At 37.6% G+C, this 16,266-nt stretch overlaps 1 protein-coding gene across 50 annotated transcripts in view; it reads right to left on the reverse strand.

Annotated features, from left to right (window-relative positions):
• Positions 1-16,266, reverse strand: part of HUWE1 (HECT, UBA and WWE domain containing E3 ubiquitin protein ligase 1) — a 154,624-nt gene that overhangs the window by 102,234 nt on the left and 36,124 nt on the right. For all 50 annotated transcript variants that reach the window (NM_001441048.1, NM_001441051.1, XM_047441751.1 and 47 more), the window contains 3 exons: positions 13,883-13,981; positions 13,039-13,245; positions 10,982-11,134 (listed from right to left, as the gene is read on the reverse strand). In NM_001441048.1, coding sequence (NP_001427977.1) covers positions 10,982-11,134; positions 13,039-13,245; positions 13,883-13,981 — 459 coding nt within the window. The remainder of the gene's footprint in view (positions 1-10,981; positions 11,135-13,038; positions 13,246-13,882; positions 13,982-16,266) is intronic.

The following is a 16,266-nucleotide window of genomic DNA, read 5'->3' on the forward strand; positions in this document are numbered from 1 at the left end:
GTGCTTATGGTGACTTTGCGCCACTGCACTCCAGCCTAGGCAACAGAGTGAGACCTTATCTCTCTTTCTCTCTATGTATATACACATACATATATATATTTAAGAGTGTGTGGCTGCTTGGAACATAATGTTGAGAAGACATCCAATGTGAAAGTCAAACAAGAGGAAAAAACGAACAGAAATAAGAACTTAAGAATCAAGGCAAGATGGTCTGCCTAAAGGTGATTTCTTCAATGAGATCAATTTCACTGTTCAGTGAGGATGCTCCTAGGAAGAACTCAAGCAGCAACTGCCAGCCATTATATTCCATACCCCTGTAGTCACGTGTGCTGACAGGTCCCTCCTGTCCTATCAGGCCTTGCCTGAGGCTCTGCCTACTCACCTTCCGCACTAGGGAGGAAAGCACTAGGGAGGAAATCATGCTTTCCAGTTCCTCTCTTTTTGACATGAGCTGAGTTACAAAGCAGATTCTACCTTATTTATTACTACTGTACTTTGCCACTCAAATCTAAAACCTCATCAACAAGCTCCTGAGATAATGGGGGGAGTGGCTCAACTGGCTTCTAAATACAAAACTTCAGCCACATAGTCTCACTTACTAACTAGCCTGCATCTTAACAGCCTTTAAAATATCACTTTAACATTAAGAGCATTAACGTATTTTTATTTTTAAATCATTCATAATTATTTTACATATATTACATAAAATATGTATTTATATATGTAAAAAATATATATCTCCCTGCCTCATGGGGCAAGGCATATAGTTCAGGCAAACAATTGACGAAGTGAAAGAAATGAGATATTATTTGAAACAAATTTATTAATTTGTTATGTCAAACTGAAGAGATTTTTATATTACAAATATAAAACATTTCATATAAAAAGATATTTTGTATATTTTTAAAAAATTATAAATATGTAAATTATATAAATTTTATATAAAATTTATAAAAATAAAAATTATATATATGTAGCTATATATGAAGAGAGTGTGAGAGATAGACAAGGTCTCCCTCTGTTGCCTAGGCTGGAGTGGAGTGCAGTGGCACAATCACAACTCACCACAGCCTCAAATTCCTGGGGTCAAAGGATCCTCCTGCCTCAGCCTGCCACACAGCTAGGACTACAGGCATATGCTGCCACCACGCCAGGCTACATTTTAAAAATGTTTGTAGGAGCCTTGCCATGTTGCCCAGGCTGGTCTCAAATTCCTGGCCTCAAGTGATCCTTCTGCCTTGGCCTCCCAAAGTGCTGGGATTACAGCTGTGAGCCACCTTGCCCAGCCAAGCATTATCATATTTTTAAGTCTGGCATGATTGAAGCACAAAATGCTACTTATATTCTATGTCTTCATTTTATTCCTGTCTAGTGTGGGTCCCAATCACCTCGGATCTGGGCTGCCACCATGAACTAACATGGCTCTCTCTCTACATCTAAGTGTTTCCTCTTTGTTAAATGCTATTATATCACTACTTGCCAAAGAAGTCTCAAAAACAAACAGTGTAAACCACTGAAGATGCCAGTCACAAAGGTACCTACTATAGAATGCTATTTCTAAACCTGTAAATAAATAAATGAATAAATAAAACATCATCTGACTATCCTGTGAGAAATAAGCTTTCTCAAACTACACTTGATCTACTGGCAGCATTTCTCAATCCAGGTATCATATATGAAACACAGAACATGGTGAATGATCATTTTATTCTCCAAATAATGGTACATAACTAGCACCACCTTAGATGCACAAGAGAGAAGTCTCTTTGCTACATTAATAATGGATACCTTAGGGCATTAGGGCTTACTTCTCTAGTGAAAACCTAAGTGAGAAAGTCTGCCTGGACACAGATATGTATATCCCCCACTCCCAGCTGGTTAAAAACAGACTGTTCTACTAGGAATGCTGTCAGTGAAAATGGCAGAATGGGGAACCCCATAAGCCCACACCTTCACAAAAACAGTGAATAAACTGACTGTCGGAATTCAAGTCTATCAGAACTCTAAAAAATAATCAGAAGTTTAAAACAACTAGGGAAGTTTAAGGCAATGAGACAAGAATCTGTAAAATACAAGGTTCGACATTCATTAAGATGTTTAACAGACGGCCAGGTGCGGTGGCTCATGCCTGTAATCCCAGCACTCAGCCAGTGGGAGCCCGAGGCGGGCAGATCACCTGAGGTCAGGAGTTCGACACCAGCTTGCCCAACATGGTGAAACCCCGTCTCTACTAAAAATACAAAATTAGCCAGGCATGTGGTGCATGCCTGTGGTCCCAGCTACTAGGGAGGCTGAGGTGGGAGGATGGCCTGAACCCGGGAGGCAGAGGTTGCAGTGAGCTGAAATTGCACCACTGCACTCCAGCCTGGGCAACAGAGTGAGACCCCAAAAAAGGTAACAAACACCTGGTGCTAAATATGGCCAAATAGTCACGTATTAAAGATATTCACTGTAGCATTATTTACCACAGAAAAATACTGGAAATTACCTAAGTAAGAAGAAAACTGTGAAGTAAATTGAGATAACCATAGATGGCACAATTGACAGTACCTAAAATATTCACAGACAGAAGGTATAAAATCATACTGTAATGGAATCAATTTCTTCTTTCATGGCATTAGTCTCATTCTTGAAAATATCTTGCCACTTCAAGCAGCATACAACCATGCAGTTATACTTTCTTTCAATGCTTGTATAACTTCATGTTTTTAACATTTCAGCTTTTTATTACATCTTAATTTTACTTTGATGAGGTAGAATCTACCTTAATTGCCTCCCAAAGAGTAAGCCAGTTTTTACAACACCATCTTATTTGAATAATCCATTCTTTTTCTGCTAATCTGAAATGCCATCTTAACCATAAATTCGATTCTTACACATTGGATCTGCTTCTGGAACCTACTGATTGGTCAATTCCACTCTTAATTACCACACTATTTAAATTACTATAGCTTTATAAAATGGTTTAATACCTAATAAGTACTTCATTACATTTTCAATATTTTCTTGGCTCTTCCCAGGACATCTAGTGAAGACGAAGACACATGCAATTTGCTGAAAACCATAAAGTAAGGATGAGGGTATAAAGGCTTGATGCTACAGAGAACAGACAGGTAAGTCAAACCAAAAGTCTGAATCTGCAAGGCAGAATAAGCTTGAAAGGCTGTGTATCTACACAATTATTTTCCTTTTGTTTCTTCTGTTATTCCAACTAATTGTTTCAGAATACTTTTATTAGTGTCACCACAAAATCCTTCTTGCCAACTTTTGCAACTTGATAAAAAACAAGCACCTTTAATTAGAAAGTTTTGGTAAGCTGAGATCCTTAAAAAACCCTGCCAACTCAAACGTGACTCACGAAAGTCTGTGCTGTTGTTATATTTATGAACTAGTAACATTATATGAAATATAAAGAAATGTTTCTTGTGAAGAAATATTCATCAGATAAAGACTAAGAAAATATACCAAAATGAGTAGATACACAATTATGATAAATTTTGTTGCATACATAAAACACCAAGCACCTATTTTTATCAGGAAGACAAGTTTGTTTCGCTGCCAACAAAATCAACATATTAAATGTTAAGATTCTAGGGTACTTTTTAGTCAGTACTATTCAGAATAACACTAGTTCTTTGCCCTTATTATTATTAATTTATTATCTATTTATCTTGCTTTCTCAAGTACTAAGTAAGCTTGTTTTTATTTAAAAAAACGAACATGACCATGCTCAAAGAATCCCCAAATGCCTAAGACAGGAAGAACAGATATTATTCTTCACATTTTAGCAGAAGCAAAGAGCCCAGGGCCTTTGTCCAAAAATAATGGTGAAACCCCATCTCCACTAAAAATACAAAAAAATTAGCCGGGCATGGTGACGGGCGCCTGTAGTCCCAGCTACTTGGGAGGCTGAGACAGGAGAATGGCATGAACCCAGGAGGTGGAGCTGGCAGTGAGCCAAGATCGCGCCACTGCACTCCAGCCTGGGGGACAGAGCGAGACTCCGTCTCAAAAAAACAAAAAACAAAAAAAAAATACATAAGTAACTTCTGAGCCTCACAGTATTCACCTATCTGGTAGTGTTACTGTAACATCCTAGCCCTTAAGTAGATAACCCATAAATAACTATATTCATTATGCCACAGAGGCATATACAACACTACCTCACACTAGACAGGATTTGCTAAATATTCAGACATCAGGAAAAAGGCTTGATGCTCTCTAAGATGGAATTATAAGAATTTGATAAAAGTTTGTAACTTAATAAAATAGACTAGGCCAGTGGTTCTCCCTGGACCAGCAGGTTAGTATTAATATTACCTGGGAACTTTATAGCAATGCAAATTCTGAGGCCCACTCCAAGCCTAATGAATCAGCAACTCAGGAGTTAGGTGGGATGGAGGTGAGGAAGACTAATATATTTTTTAATAAAGTGATTCTGATGCATCCTCAAGTTTACTAGACCTAGAGTATACCAGACCTTCACAAAAGCCAGCCAACTGGCTTTCAACTGATTCAACAAGTCTTTCTGGAGAATTTTCCCTACATCTGTAGTTAACTAATCACTGTTCACATTCACAATTAGCCCACATCACTGGGTTGACCTAGTCATTAAAAACTACTATGAGGAAAGACACCATATCCAAAGTCACTTTTCATAAAGACCAAAACACGATATTCAATCTTTTATATAAAAGCATTGACTGAACCATTTTTGAAAACATCACATACAAAACACAATAAACAAAGACAATATACATGAAGATTAGGGGAAAAAATACTTTTAAGATGACAAAGGACTAATATCTCCAATATGGTTTTACAGAGTAGGAAAAAGTAACCAAATGGAAAAATGGACAAAAGATAAAACCTTTCACAAGAACAAATCCTAATGGCCAAGCATAAAGATGCTCAAAATCATTACTGATCAGTGAAGTGCCAATAAAGTCACACTGAGATTTCTGGGACTCTATCTTATGATCTCCATATCATCTCTTATAATATCATATTAAATGTATCAGTAACTAAATTCATATATAAGATTGCTTAATGTAGCATCATTCATAACAAATATAAGCATGCATCAATAGGGAACTTGAGTAAAATATGGTACATCCAAAGCATGGAATACTATGCAGCCATCAAAAGAACCCTATAGTTATACAGGTGACTTTAAAGTGATTTTTGAACAAGGTCTGAAATAAGAAAACAAGGATGTAAGGTATCCTGCATTTGTAACTGAAGGACAAAAACACCCTCAACAGTCAATATAATATGAAGATAATATATAGAGAAGAATACATTTGAGGTTATGGGGAGGTGAACCAAGAGGGAAAAGGCTGTACTGAAAATAATCATGTGACAATATGCATGCACTTATAAAATAATGCATGTGTAACATTTTAAAAGAAAGCAAATACAAAAGAATGGCATGTAGTTTCTCTGGTTGACATCCATCTACAAATGACAGCTGTTTATTAAGTACTTCCAACATGATGGCATTAACCCTACAGGTTTTATTTATGACTTCCTTTACTCTGATCCTAAAAAAACTATGAGGTAGATATTGTAACCCCCAATTTACAGACACAGAAACAGGTTAATATTTGTTGGCAAAAGTAGGTTTCACATCCAAATCCAGGTTCTTATACACATGCAAGTGAATGTGTTTGTTGCAAAGGAAGTTGCCTGAAAAGACTGAAAAGACATGAACCAAGATTTCTATGAGCATTGTTAAAGAAGCCCACAAGGACAGGCAGTGGCTCACGCCTGTAATCCCAGCACTTTGGGAGGCCAAGGCGAGTGGATCGCCTGAGCTCAGGAGTTGGAGACCAGCATGGGCAACATGGTGAAACCCCATCTCTACAAAAAATATAAAAAATTAGCCGGGTGTGGTGGTGCATGCCTGTAGTCTCAGCTACTAGGGAGGCTGAGGTGGGAGGATCAATTGAGCCTGGGAAGCGGAGGATGCAGTGAGCTGATATCGTGCAACTGCACTCCAGCCTGGGTAATGGAGTGAGACTCTGTCTCAAAAAAAATAAATACATAAATAAAAGAAGCCCACATGAACAAGTCAAGTTTTTAGAGAAATTTTACATTTTAGAGAAACATGAAATTTTTAAATTTTAATGAGGGATATTAGTATTGGAGGTACCATTACTAAATACCTAATTATCTCTAAACCTCAAAAACCTGTAAAAATCTTTTATTGCAAAGCACCAAACACATCAATCTATTACCAAAGGCTGCAATGTACTGCACCTGTCAAGATTCCAAATTCTCCAGGACTAGAAATTAACCTCCAATCTACAATCTCTTTAGATCAATTCAGAGCAAAAAGTAGCAAGCCTCTCAAAGGTAAAAAGTGTCAAAAATGCAAAGGGACAAAAAAGCAATCATTTAAGCAGTCCTTTCTGTGGTAAAATCATCCAAAGGAAGAACAACAACTGGATCTGAATTACCTAAAAAACAAAACAAAGAAACATACCCGATACTTTATATATGTGAGCCACTTATACCAAAAACAGTTTGCATTTTAACTTCTACTTAAATTGTCAGAACATTTAATTAAAGTATGAAATATTAGTGTGTTTATATCAGCCTAAAAGTAGGGTGATGTGAATTCTGTCAGATGCTATTGTGGTCCTATACAAATAACCAAATTAACATGATCAAAGCTGTATTTTTAATGACTTCTAGGTCTGTTAACTTTCTTAGCAAACTCTTATCAAAGATCTTAAAAGTCACCTGTATTTACCTCTAAATACGTTCCTAGGATTTATGTCAAGTGTGAAGAAAAGTTCTAAACACATTTTCCCCTCAAAACAGCCTACTGTCCCACTGTTCTAAGCAACATAAGGTATACTCTTTCATTTTGCAGATGTATTGTCTATTCCTGTGCCAACTGCAAGACTTGGCTTAATCATAAAAAGCCTTATGATAAAAACTTGGCTTTATAATAAAACCACTATAGCTTTATGATATTATCTGATACAGCAACTCACCCTGATTCATTATCAGTGTTTTCTCATTTATTTCTGTGTCTCAGTTGATGCTATTAACAGACTTCCACTTAATCAATTTGACTGATTTAAATGAGAAAGGGAATTATTTCACAAAAACTAAGTCGAATATTTTGCAAAATATTCATCTAAAAGGCAAGATGCTAAAATAAAAAGTGTCAAATTATGAAGAGATTCAGGGGTAAACTCTAAAAAATTTAGAATCCTGTATGCAGGCTCCTTTTCTTCAATCGGTGCAACACCATAAAGTAATCACAGATTATAGTTGTAGTTTATGTCAGAAAACAGACTGCTTCTTACTAAGTCTTATGGCCCACATAAGATGGGAAAGGGAATTATTTTAGTTTTTAAAAAATCATATGTATCAATCACTTTTTAAACATTTCCTGCTTTAACAAGATTTTTAAAATAATTAAACTACCAATCATTGGTCCTAATTTCATTAAAGGGCTTCTACTACATTAAGTCTTCCCATTTAAAAAATGTTACTTGTCTCTATTTAGACCATCTTTTAAATCTGTAAGTAAAGGTTTAGTGTTGGTCTAACAGATCTTAAATACTGCTGGTAAGATTTATTTTCCCTTATCCATAGGGATACATTCCAAGACCCCTAGTGGATACCCGAAAATACAGGTAGTGGCAAACCCTATATAATACACCCACACACACACACATTTTTTCCCTATACATACATACTGATGATAAAGTTTAATATATACTATAATACAAGTTATGTGAATGTGGCTTCTCTCTTAATATATCTTATTGTATTATACTGCAAGTAACTGAAACCATGGCAATCGAAACCTCGGATAAGGGGAGACTACTGTACTTGTTCATGTATCTGTCCCATTATTGCCCATTCAGATTCCCTTCTATCAAAGGTATAACTTTTGATGTCTGTTAATTTTTCTTTCTTGAAACTATATGTTGCATTGTGTACATCTTTTTAAGTTTCAGAAATGGTACTGAGCAATGAAAACTGTTGCTTTTACTTTTTTATGCACTAACCACTATGTTTAGAAGCCATCAATGTTGCTGTATTATTTGGTCCACTGTTTCTAACTGCTACATACTCCATAGTGTGCATGTGCCACATTTTACTTATTTGAGTATCTACTAATGATGGATACCAAGGTTGCTTCCAACTCCTCACTACCACAAATGATGATGCAATACTCTGACAGAGATCACGTTTATGGAAATGATGCGATCTCACCTTTGAAATATATACCCATGAGAACCAGTCTACACTCCTATGAACAATGTATGAGGGTTCCCATTGCTTCACATACCTGCCAGGACTTACCATTATATAGTTTTCTAATTTCTGCAAATCTGATGCTTACAAAGCTGTACCTTGTTTTATTTTTATTTCTCTAATTACTGAGTATGGGCATCTACTCACATGAATTTCCTGTTCTATAAATTGCCTATCCATATCCTTTGCTCATCCTTGTTGATCTGGAAGAGTTCCTTGGATATTCTACATTAGCAGTCCCTTTTCAGTTTTAAAACACTGTTAAACATTTTTAATCTACCATGGGTCTGTTAACTTCTGTTGTACAAAGTGCTGCCTAATTTTGTATGCAGACCAGCTGCTTGCTATTACACCAATTGTTTGCAAGTTTTATTGGTCCATGACAAAATGAGGTTGTACCAGAATGTTATTTAACTACATTGGTAACTATACTATTTAGTACAACTGACATTTTTCTTGATGAAGGAAGCAGTGTGTTGATTTATATTCTAGTGTAAGGGCCTAAGGAGTAGCCTGGAGCTATGTGTTTTTTGTTGGGAAGTATATTTTTAAATACAATATTCAAAATTTTACTTTCAGGTTTATGCCATGGGGATTTTAAGAATTCTTTCCCCACCATTGTTATTACAACACAACCTCCTACATTAACTGCTCTTAAATTTACAGTTTTAGCCAATATGACTTATTTTACAGACAGAATATTTGCTTATACTGTGAATGGGGTCTTTTCACCAATCATTTTCTTTTTTTTTTTGAGATAGAGTCTTGCTCTTGTCACACAGCCTGGAATGCAGTGGCACAATCTAGGCTCACTGCAGCTTCCGCCTCCCGGGTTCAAGCGATTCTCCTGCCTTACCGTCCTGAGTAGCTAGGATTACAAGTGCCCACCACCACGTCCAGCTAATTTTTGTATTGTTTTAGTAGAGATGGGGTTTCACCATGTTGGCCGGGCTGGTCTCAAACTCCTGACCTCAGGTGATCTGCCTGCCTCGGCCCCCCAAAGTGTTGGGATTACAGGCGTGAGCCACCACGCCTGGCCTCACCAATCATTTTCTAATTGGTTGCTATTAATACATGGAAGAGCTATCTGTTTCTGTATATTGATCTCTTGGCTACCTCACTGTGCTTTTACTAGTTATAATAATTTTACATTATCTCCCCAAGAAACAAAGAGACTCATCACCTACATACAAATAGTAACAAATATTCTCTTTTCTTTTTTAGAGACAGAGTCTCGGTCTCACTCTGTTGCCCAGGCTAGAATGCAGTAGCACGATCCTGGCTCATTGCAGCCTTCACCTCCCAGGCTCAAGTGATCCTCTTACCTCAGCCTCCCAAGTAACTGGGACCACAGGGGTGTGCCACCACACCTGGCGGATTTTTGTACTTTTTGCAGAGACGGGATTTCGCCATGTTGCCCAGGCTGGTCTCAAACTCCTGGGCTCAAGCGATTTGCCTGCCTCAGCCTCCCCAAGTGCCAGTAATAACAGGCATAAGCCATCATGCCCAGCCCAAATTTTTTCTTTTAATATGTATTCTTCGCTTCTTTCTTTTCTGTTGGTTAGCATCTGTACTACAAATGTAAATGACAGAAGTTAATGTCTGACATTTTTGTGTGACTTTTGAATCCAATGGAAATGCCTCAGCTCCCCCATTATGACTTCTGGTAGGTAACTCTAGTTTTCTTAAAGTTTATATGAAGCTTTTGTTAATGAGATAAATTTTATCGAGTGCTTTGGAAGCATCTATTGAGTAATAGTTCCTTTTTCCTTTTAACTGTGGACTTGGGAATCCAATGTTAAACCTCCTTGTGGTTTTTAATAGTAAGAGGAAATATTTACAGTATCTTAAGAAAACAGGTCACATGCATGTATACATGTGTTTCCAAATGCAAGAAAAAAATGCTCCAACTTTAAGGGAGGTCTCATAGGGATGAATTATAGGTGATTGACATTTTGTCTACATTTTCCTAGAATTTTCAGAATACATGTTATATTTATAATTATACAAAACTAATTTATAAGTAATCATGGCACCTGAATTAGCCTGAAAACTTGAGTTACTTTGAGGTAAGCATTAAATATGCTTTTAAAAAGCCAGCCATAACACTTTTCTTCTAAGAAAGCTTTCCAACAGTGGGTTACCTCTCAAAGCTAAGTATGTATTAAGAAGTTGCCTCTGGGAACACTGGACAATAGTTTGGTAGAGCTGAACTTTTATATGAGAGCTTCTGGCTTCAATTACAATCACTACGACTTACTGATCACAGCACTGAGTACCCCACAATTCATTTCATTCTAAATCAACCCTGAAGTAGATATGTTAAATTCCCAGAAGAGGAAACCAGTGTCGGCGCTAGTAAGCAGGGCCAGGACTCAAATCTAGATCTTATTATTGCATTATACTTCCTTCTCACACAGAATTGAATCTAATTTTGAACTTTCCTTTCAGAAGTGAAATTGCCACTTTTGAACAGAGAGATTTTGTTTGGTGAGCAGAGATTAAAGAATTCCTTCAAAATTACTTAATAACTGAGAATACTTAGGTTTTAAAACAGGGCACCAATAGTTCTAACTCAATTAGGCCAGTGAAGTTAACTTAGGGATTCTAATATATTTTAACACTCCAAGAAACACCTGTTGAAAGGAACCATATGCTCCAATTTTTGCACCCCTCCAACTCTTCACCCAAGACTCACCTCTGCCAAATGTTGTAGCCGAGTTAGCAGCGGGGTCCTCTTGTCAGATCCCAGACGAGTGATGTAGTTTGATCTTTTGCTAAATACATATAGGAGATTGAGGACTGCCAGCACCACTTGCATATCAGAGGAAGCCAATAAAGTTGTCAAATGCTAAAGGGACAAAAAAGGGCAAAGCTCAAGGTATCAGGCACAACTGGCCTTGAAAACAAAACAAAATGTACTTGTCAACATTTACAAAGCTATCAAGAAGTTTAGTCACAACAATACAAAAAATATATAAGTATTTGTACTCGGGAGGCTGAGGCAGGAGAATGGTGTGAACCCGGGAGGCGGAGCTTGCAGTGAGCCGAGATCACGCCACTGCACTCCAGCCTGGGCAACAGAGGGAGACTCTGTCTCAAAAAAAGAAAAAAAAAAAAAAAAATATATATATATATATATATATATATATATATATATATATGTATTTGATAATCTACAACATGCAACCTTATCCCCAAGGAGCTTAAAATCTGGCAGTTAGCTATAAAGTGCAATAAAAGTAAAAAACGTAAATAGTGGTTCAAAATTGCGCAGGTTTTCCCACAGGAAGGAAAAGAGACAAATACACATGTGGGACTCAAGAAGAACATTAAGTCTCTAACTGGACTAAAAGTATTGTGAAAGAAAGATATTTTATGTTCTCTTCTGTATCCTTTATGACAAACATAAAATTGAAATTAATTAAAACAGGGTCCTTCATATAGAAGCTAAAGATATCGATAACAGCTCGTGGCAATTATATAACATATAAGTGTTACAGTACAGTATATGCTCATAAGGAACCTGAGTGACTACTCTGGATTTTGTTGTTGTTGCTGTTTGGAGACGGGGTCTCTCTGTTGCCCAGGCTGGAGTGCAAAGGCATGATCATAGCTCCCTGCAGCCTTGACCTCCTGGGTTCAAGCAATCCTCTCACCGAAGTCTCCCGAGTAGCTAGGACTACAGGCACGCACCACCACGCCCCGCTAATTTTTGTATTTTTTGTAGCGATGGGGTCTCACTATGTTGCCCAGACTGGTCTTGAACCCCTGGGCTCAAGTGATCTTCCCGCCTCAACCTCCCAAAGTGTCAGGATTACAGACATGAGCCACTGCACCTGGCCTTACTTTGGCTTTTAAATACAATTAAAATTCACCAATACATTGAAGCAGTTGGTCAGAATTAAAATCAGTATGTAATATAGCTAGAAATGAACCAAGGCATTTCCAGTTGCCAATTATACCGAAGGTCATGGACTTCCATGGGCAGCATATCTATTTCATCTTCAACAGACTGCCTATTTACCTCCCACTTAAAGCTCTGTATGTTAGGCCTTTAGTTCAGTTATCCCACTTCTTTTCCTAAGCCATTTTCTTTTAAGTTGTTTGTTCTGATTCTGTTTCTCTACTGAAGACGTAGGAAAACACACCTAAAATTAACAGGGCACCTAACTAATGATGATAAAAAGTCTAAAGTTGGGCTTCTATAAAAAGAAAATAATTTCTTCTTACAGTGATTTTTAACCAATTAAAAAGCTCACTGATTGCTGCACCTACCTTACTCTTCAAGGACACAAAGGATGCTATGAATATATATTTTGGGATGGGTGTGGCAGAGTACAGAGAGACTTTAAAGCAGCACACTAACACTTAGAGGAGTAGTAAGTACATTAATGTGATGAGAAAATCAAACTATTTCTAGGAATTTAAAAGTAATGTGGGGCTGCTCTAACAACCTAGGGCAAAAATCAATTCATGCAAATTTCCTTAAATACTTTAATACATATATAACATTTCTCATTCATTTCTTGAATCTTGAAAAGGCAAAGCAAAGGTGATAGTACAGAATCTTCCCATCAACCCTATGAAGGATAGTATCTATATCCAAGAAACATTCTACTATTATCTTTGACAATGAAAAACCCAGAGCTCCACAATGAAAAGGAAAGAAGCAATAGAAATAGCAATTTCCTTATTTCTGGATGTACACAATTCTAGTCAAGAACAGGGTACACAGGCTTTAACCTCCCCTACCTCTATGGAACTGTACAGATGCCGGGAAAAGCTGTACTCAATGAGCAAGGCTGTGAAGTTCAACACAGCCAAGAGAAGCATTTTCAGTTGCTCTCTTTCTGGCCTATCACATACGAGCATCCATGACATATTCTCCACTGTCTGTCCAGCATCTGCCAGTATTCCATCGAAGCGGTCCAACAGGTCCACCCAGTGATATAACTCGCACTGGAGAGGGGAGGAAAAAGAGGATGTAAGAATAAGGTAGAAGCGCCGCATGGGTGCTTTCTAACTGAGCTTTGTTACAAGAGATTGCTGAGCATGACACCTAGACAAGTTCACGTCCCACCCTTGCCCATATGAGAAAGATCATACTCTGAGCTAAAAGTGCTGTAGTTCATTGTCATACCCATCTAGATATATGTGCTAACACCAATAGACACCATAAAACCCCTAGAGCTAGGTCTTTAGATGGAGAACTCCGGTTACATTCTAAGATCTACGAAGACAAGAGAACTATCCTTGCCAGAATCCATTTTATCAGAAAAATTCATTTTTAGAGTTATCTAATAAAAATTCTTCTAAACTAAAAATCCAGAAATTATCTCAAACTTATATTGTCAAACCACAGGAATTCTGTGATTGAGATTCTTAAGCATCACCTGTGAAATCAATTCTCCATCCTCAGCCAGCAAAATTTTCCTTGCCACTGGTTTAAAGCTGTGTTAGGCACATGGCACATGCTAGATGCTTATTAATTGCTGAATGAGGCTATCCCATTGTGGTTTCTTATTCCATATCAGAGCATACAAAATGATGTATTAGTATGGTGAGTCCTGTCTTTTGGGAGCTTGACTTCACATACCTTTCCAATGTTCCATGTTTTGATCTGCTGCAGTTCCAAGAGAAGTTGCTCATCATTACAAACTTTGAGTTTGTCTATTAAGGCTCTGCAGTCTGCAGGCTGAGAAAAGAAAAGTATTCACAAAAGATGTTTTGGAATGAGGGAGTTGCAAATAAGGAGAATCAGAAAAGGAACCCTTAAGCTCACACAGCAATTTTCCTTTTGCTAGGATTTACTACTTAAGAAAACGAGATGTGCCAGACAATCTCTTGGGATTAAAATGGAAACCTCATGAGAAAATGCTTTTATTCCCCCAACAATCCACCTGGGCTTAAAAAACAAAAAAAAACAAAAAAAAACAAAAAACAAAACAAAAACCCACCTTGGATTTGGATAAAGGTAGATGCAGACAAACTATTTGGAAAGGTGCTGACAACAAAAACAATAATAAGTTAAACATCTAAAAAAAAAAAAAAAACAATTAAGGAATCTATACCATGGTCTGAAAGTTAACCAGAATGCCTGGTAGGTTATATTGAATCAGAGACTGAAAAGTCCTAGTGAATTCACAATTAAAGGTGAAGATTAGCACTAGCTATATTTTTCTGTTACATAAAATCCTTCACTTGTAAGATGGTAAACAGCTTCCGAACTTCGTAAAACTAGGACTCCATTCTTTCTTGGGGTTCCTATTTCCATACATTTCTGCTCTCTTCTACTGATGAATGGGTCCATTTGTCAGGTAACAAGGAGTGGATTGAGCATTTATAGTCAAGTTTCTGAAAGTGGAAGGAGGGAAAGGGATAGGGGCTGGGAGAGAGAAGCCTTCCGTTAATGAATGGCAGCTGGGAGAAGTGATTATTACACTTGTTCTTTAACTCCATAAAGGCAGTACAGCATCCTGGGAATGGACCAGAGGTCTGGAACCAAACAAGTCTGGATTCACTTTTTAACTTCATGTTTACTAAGCTGTTTGATCATGAGCAAGTCTAACCTCTAAGCCACAGCTCTCTTATCAGAAAAACAGACCTAATAGCTACCTCACAAATATGAAACTCAAACGTCTGCCACATACATAAAATACTTATCTCCCATTACAGGAGCTTAAATATTCAGAGACAGCATACTATTAAAAAGAGTATGACCCTTGGAATCAGGTAGTTGGTAAGCTACCTCTTTGAATCTCAGCATCCTCTTCTGCAAAATAAACTAACATGTACCTATATATCCAGCAATGCTGTCGTGAGATTCAAACTGGGAGAAACGTATTTTCGGCATCTGAAACAACATGGAACCTAACAGGGGTTTCTTTAAGCTAAGTCCAAACCTTTTCTCCCTCTAAGCATTATTAAGATCTACCTCAAATGTTCATGGTAATTAAATATATGTAAAATCCTTGGCACAAAATCCTTCCATAAACCAGGCCTGCACTTTTTCCTCTTCTCCTCTAAGATGTAAGTTGAGGGAGAGGCAGTGAAGCAGCAGAAATAGATAACATGGAAATTTGAACCACCTGCTTATGCAGTTCACTTGTGCCTGCTGGACCTACTTGGGTCCAGCATCAAACGTGTTACTTCTATTTCTAATGGAATGCAGCTGTACAAATCCAATTTTACGATGTGTAGGTAAGATGCAGTTCATGATGAACATTTGGATCCTGTAATAATTTGGTATGTCCCATAACCAGGCATTCAGTCTTTACCAAGGCCCAGTAGCAAGCCAGAAGCTGCTTTTGTGAATGTAGAATAGCTGGTGGCAGAGGACAGCACAGCCAAGAATCTAGGGGTCTTACTTGTAATTCTATTGGGGCTTGCCAAAAGCACAACATGGCATCTTTAGCTGACACCTAAGTCAGTCACCTGGGTCTACTAGGTCATAATGTCCAAGTGATAGGGCAACTTGTATCATAGCCTGGACCTTTTGCAGAGTCTTTTCTAGATCCAAACCTTACTAACACTTTAGTGGTTCCCCACTAAATGTGTTAGAGGTTATCCAGTAAATAGGTCAAAATAGCATGCCTAAATGTGACCAACCAATATGTTGGCTCCAAAATCCAAACGCATCACACATTGTTCCTCTTTCTTCACAGTGTGTGGTACAAGGTACAGCAACTTCCCTCTCACTTTAGAAGGGATATCCCAATATTTCCCAAACCCTGGGGCCACTAGAAACTTTCCTAATGTGAAAAGGCCCTCAAGCTTCCACAAGGTTTGTTTCTGACTCTCTGGCACAAATATGTCTGAGGCATCTAAGGTGTGCTTGTGTTTTCTGCTCACAAGATCCAGTTAGCATAATGGCATCAATTTAATGTACCAGTACTATGGTCTCTGTTTTATCAGACTATCAAGGTCCCTTGCATTTTGCAGGAGAAAGCAGCAAGCACAACGTTAAGATATAAGAAAGCA

The sequence above is a fragment of the Homo sapiens genome, chromosome X, assembly GCF_000001405.40.
Source record: "Homo sapiens chromosome X, GRCh38.p14 Primary Assembly".
NCBI classification, from domain to species: Eukaryota; Metazoa; Chordata; class Mammalia; order Primates; family Hominidae; genus Homo; species Homo sapiens.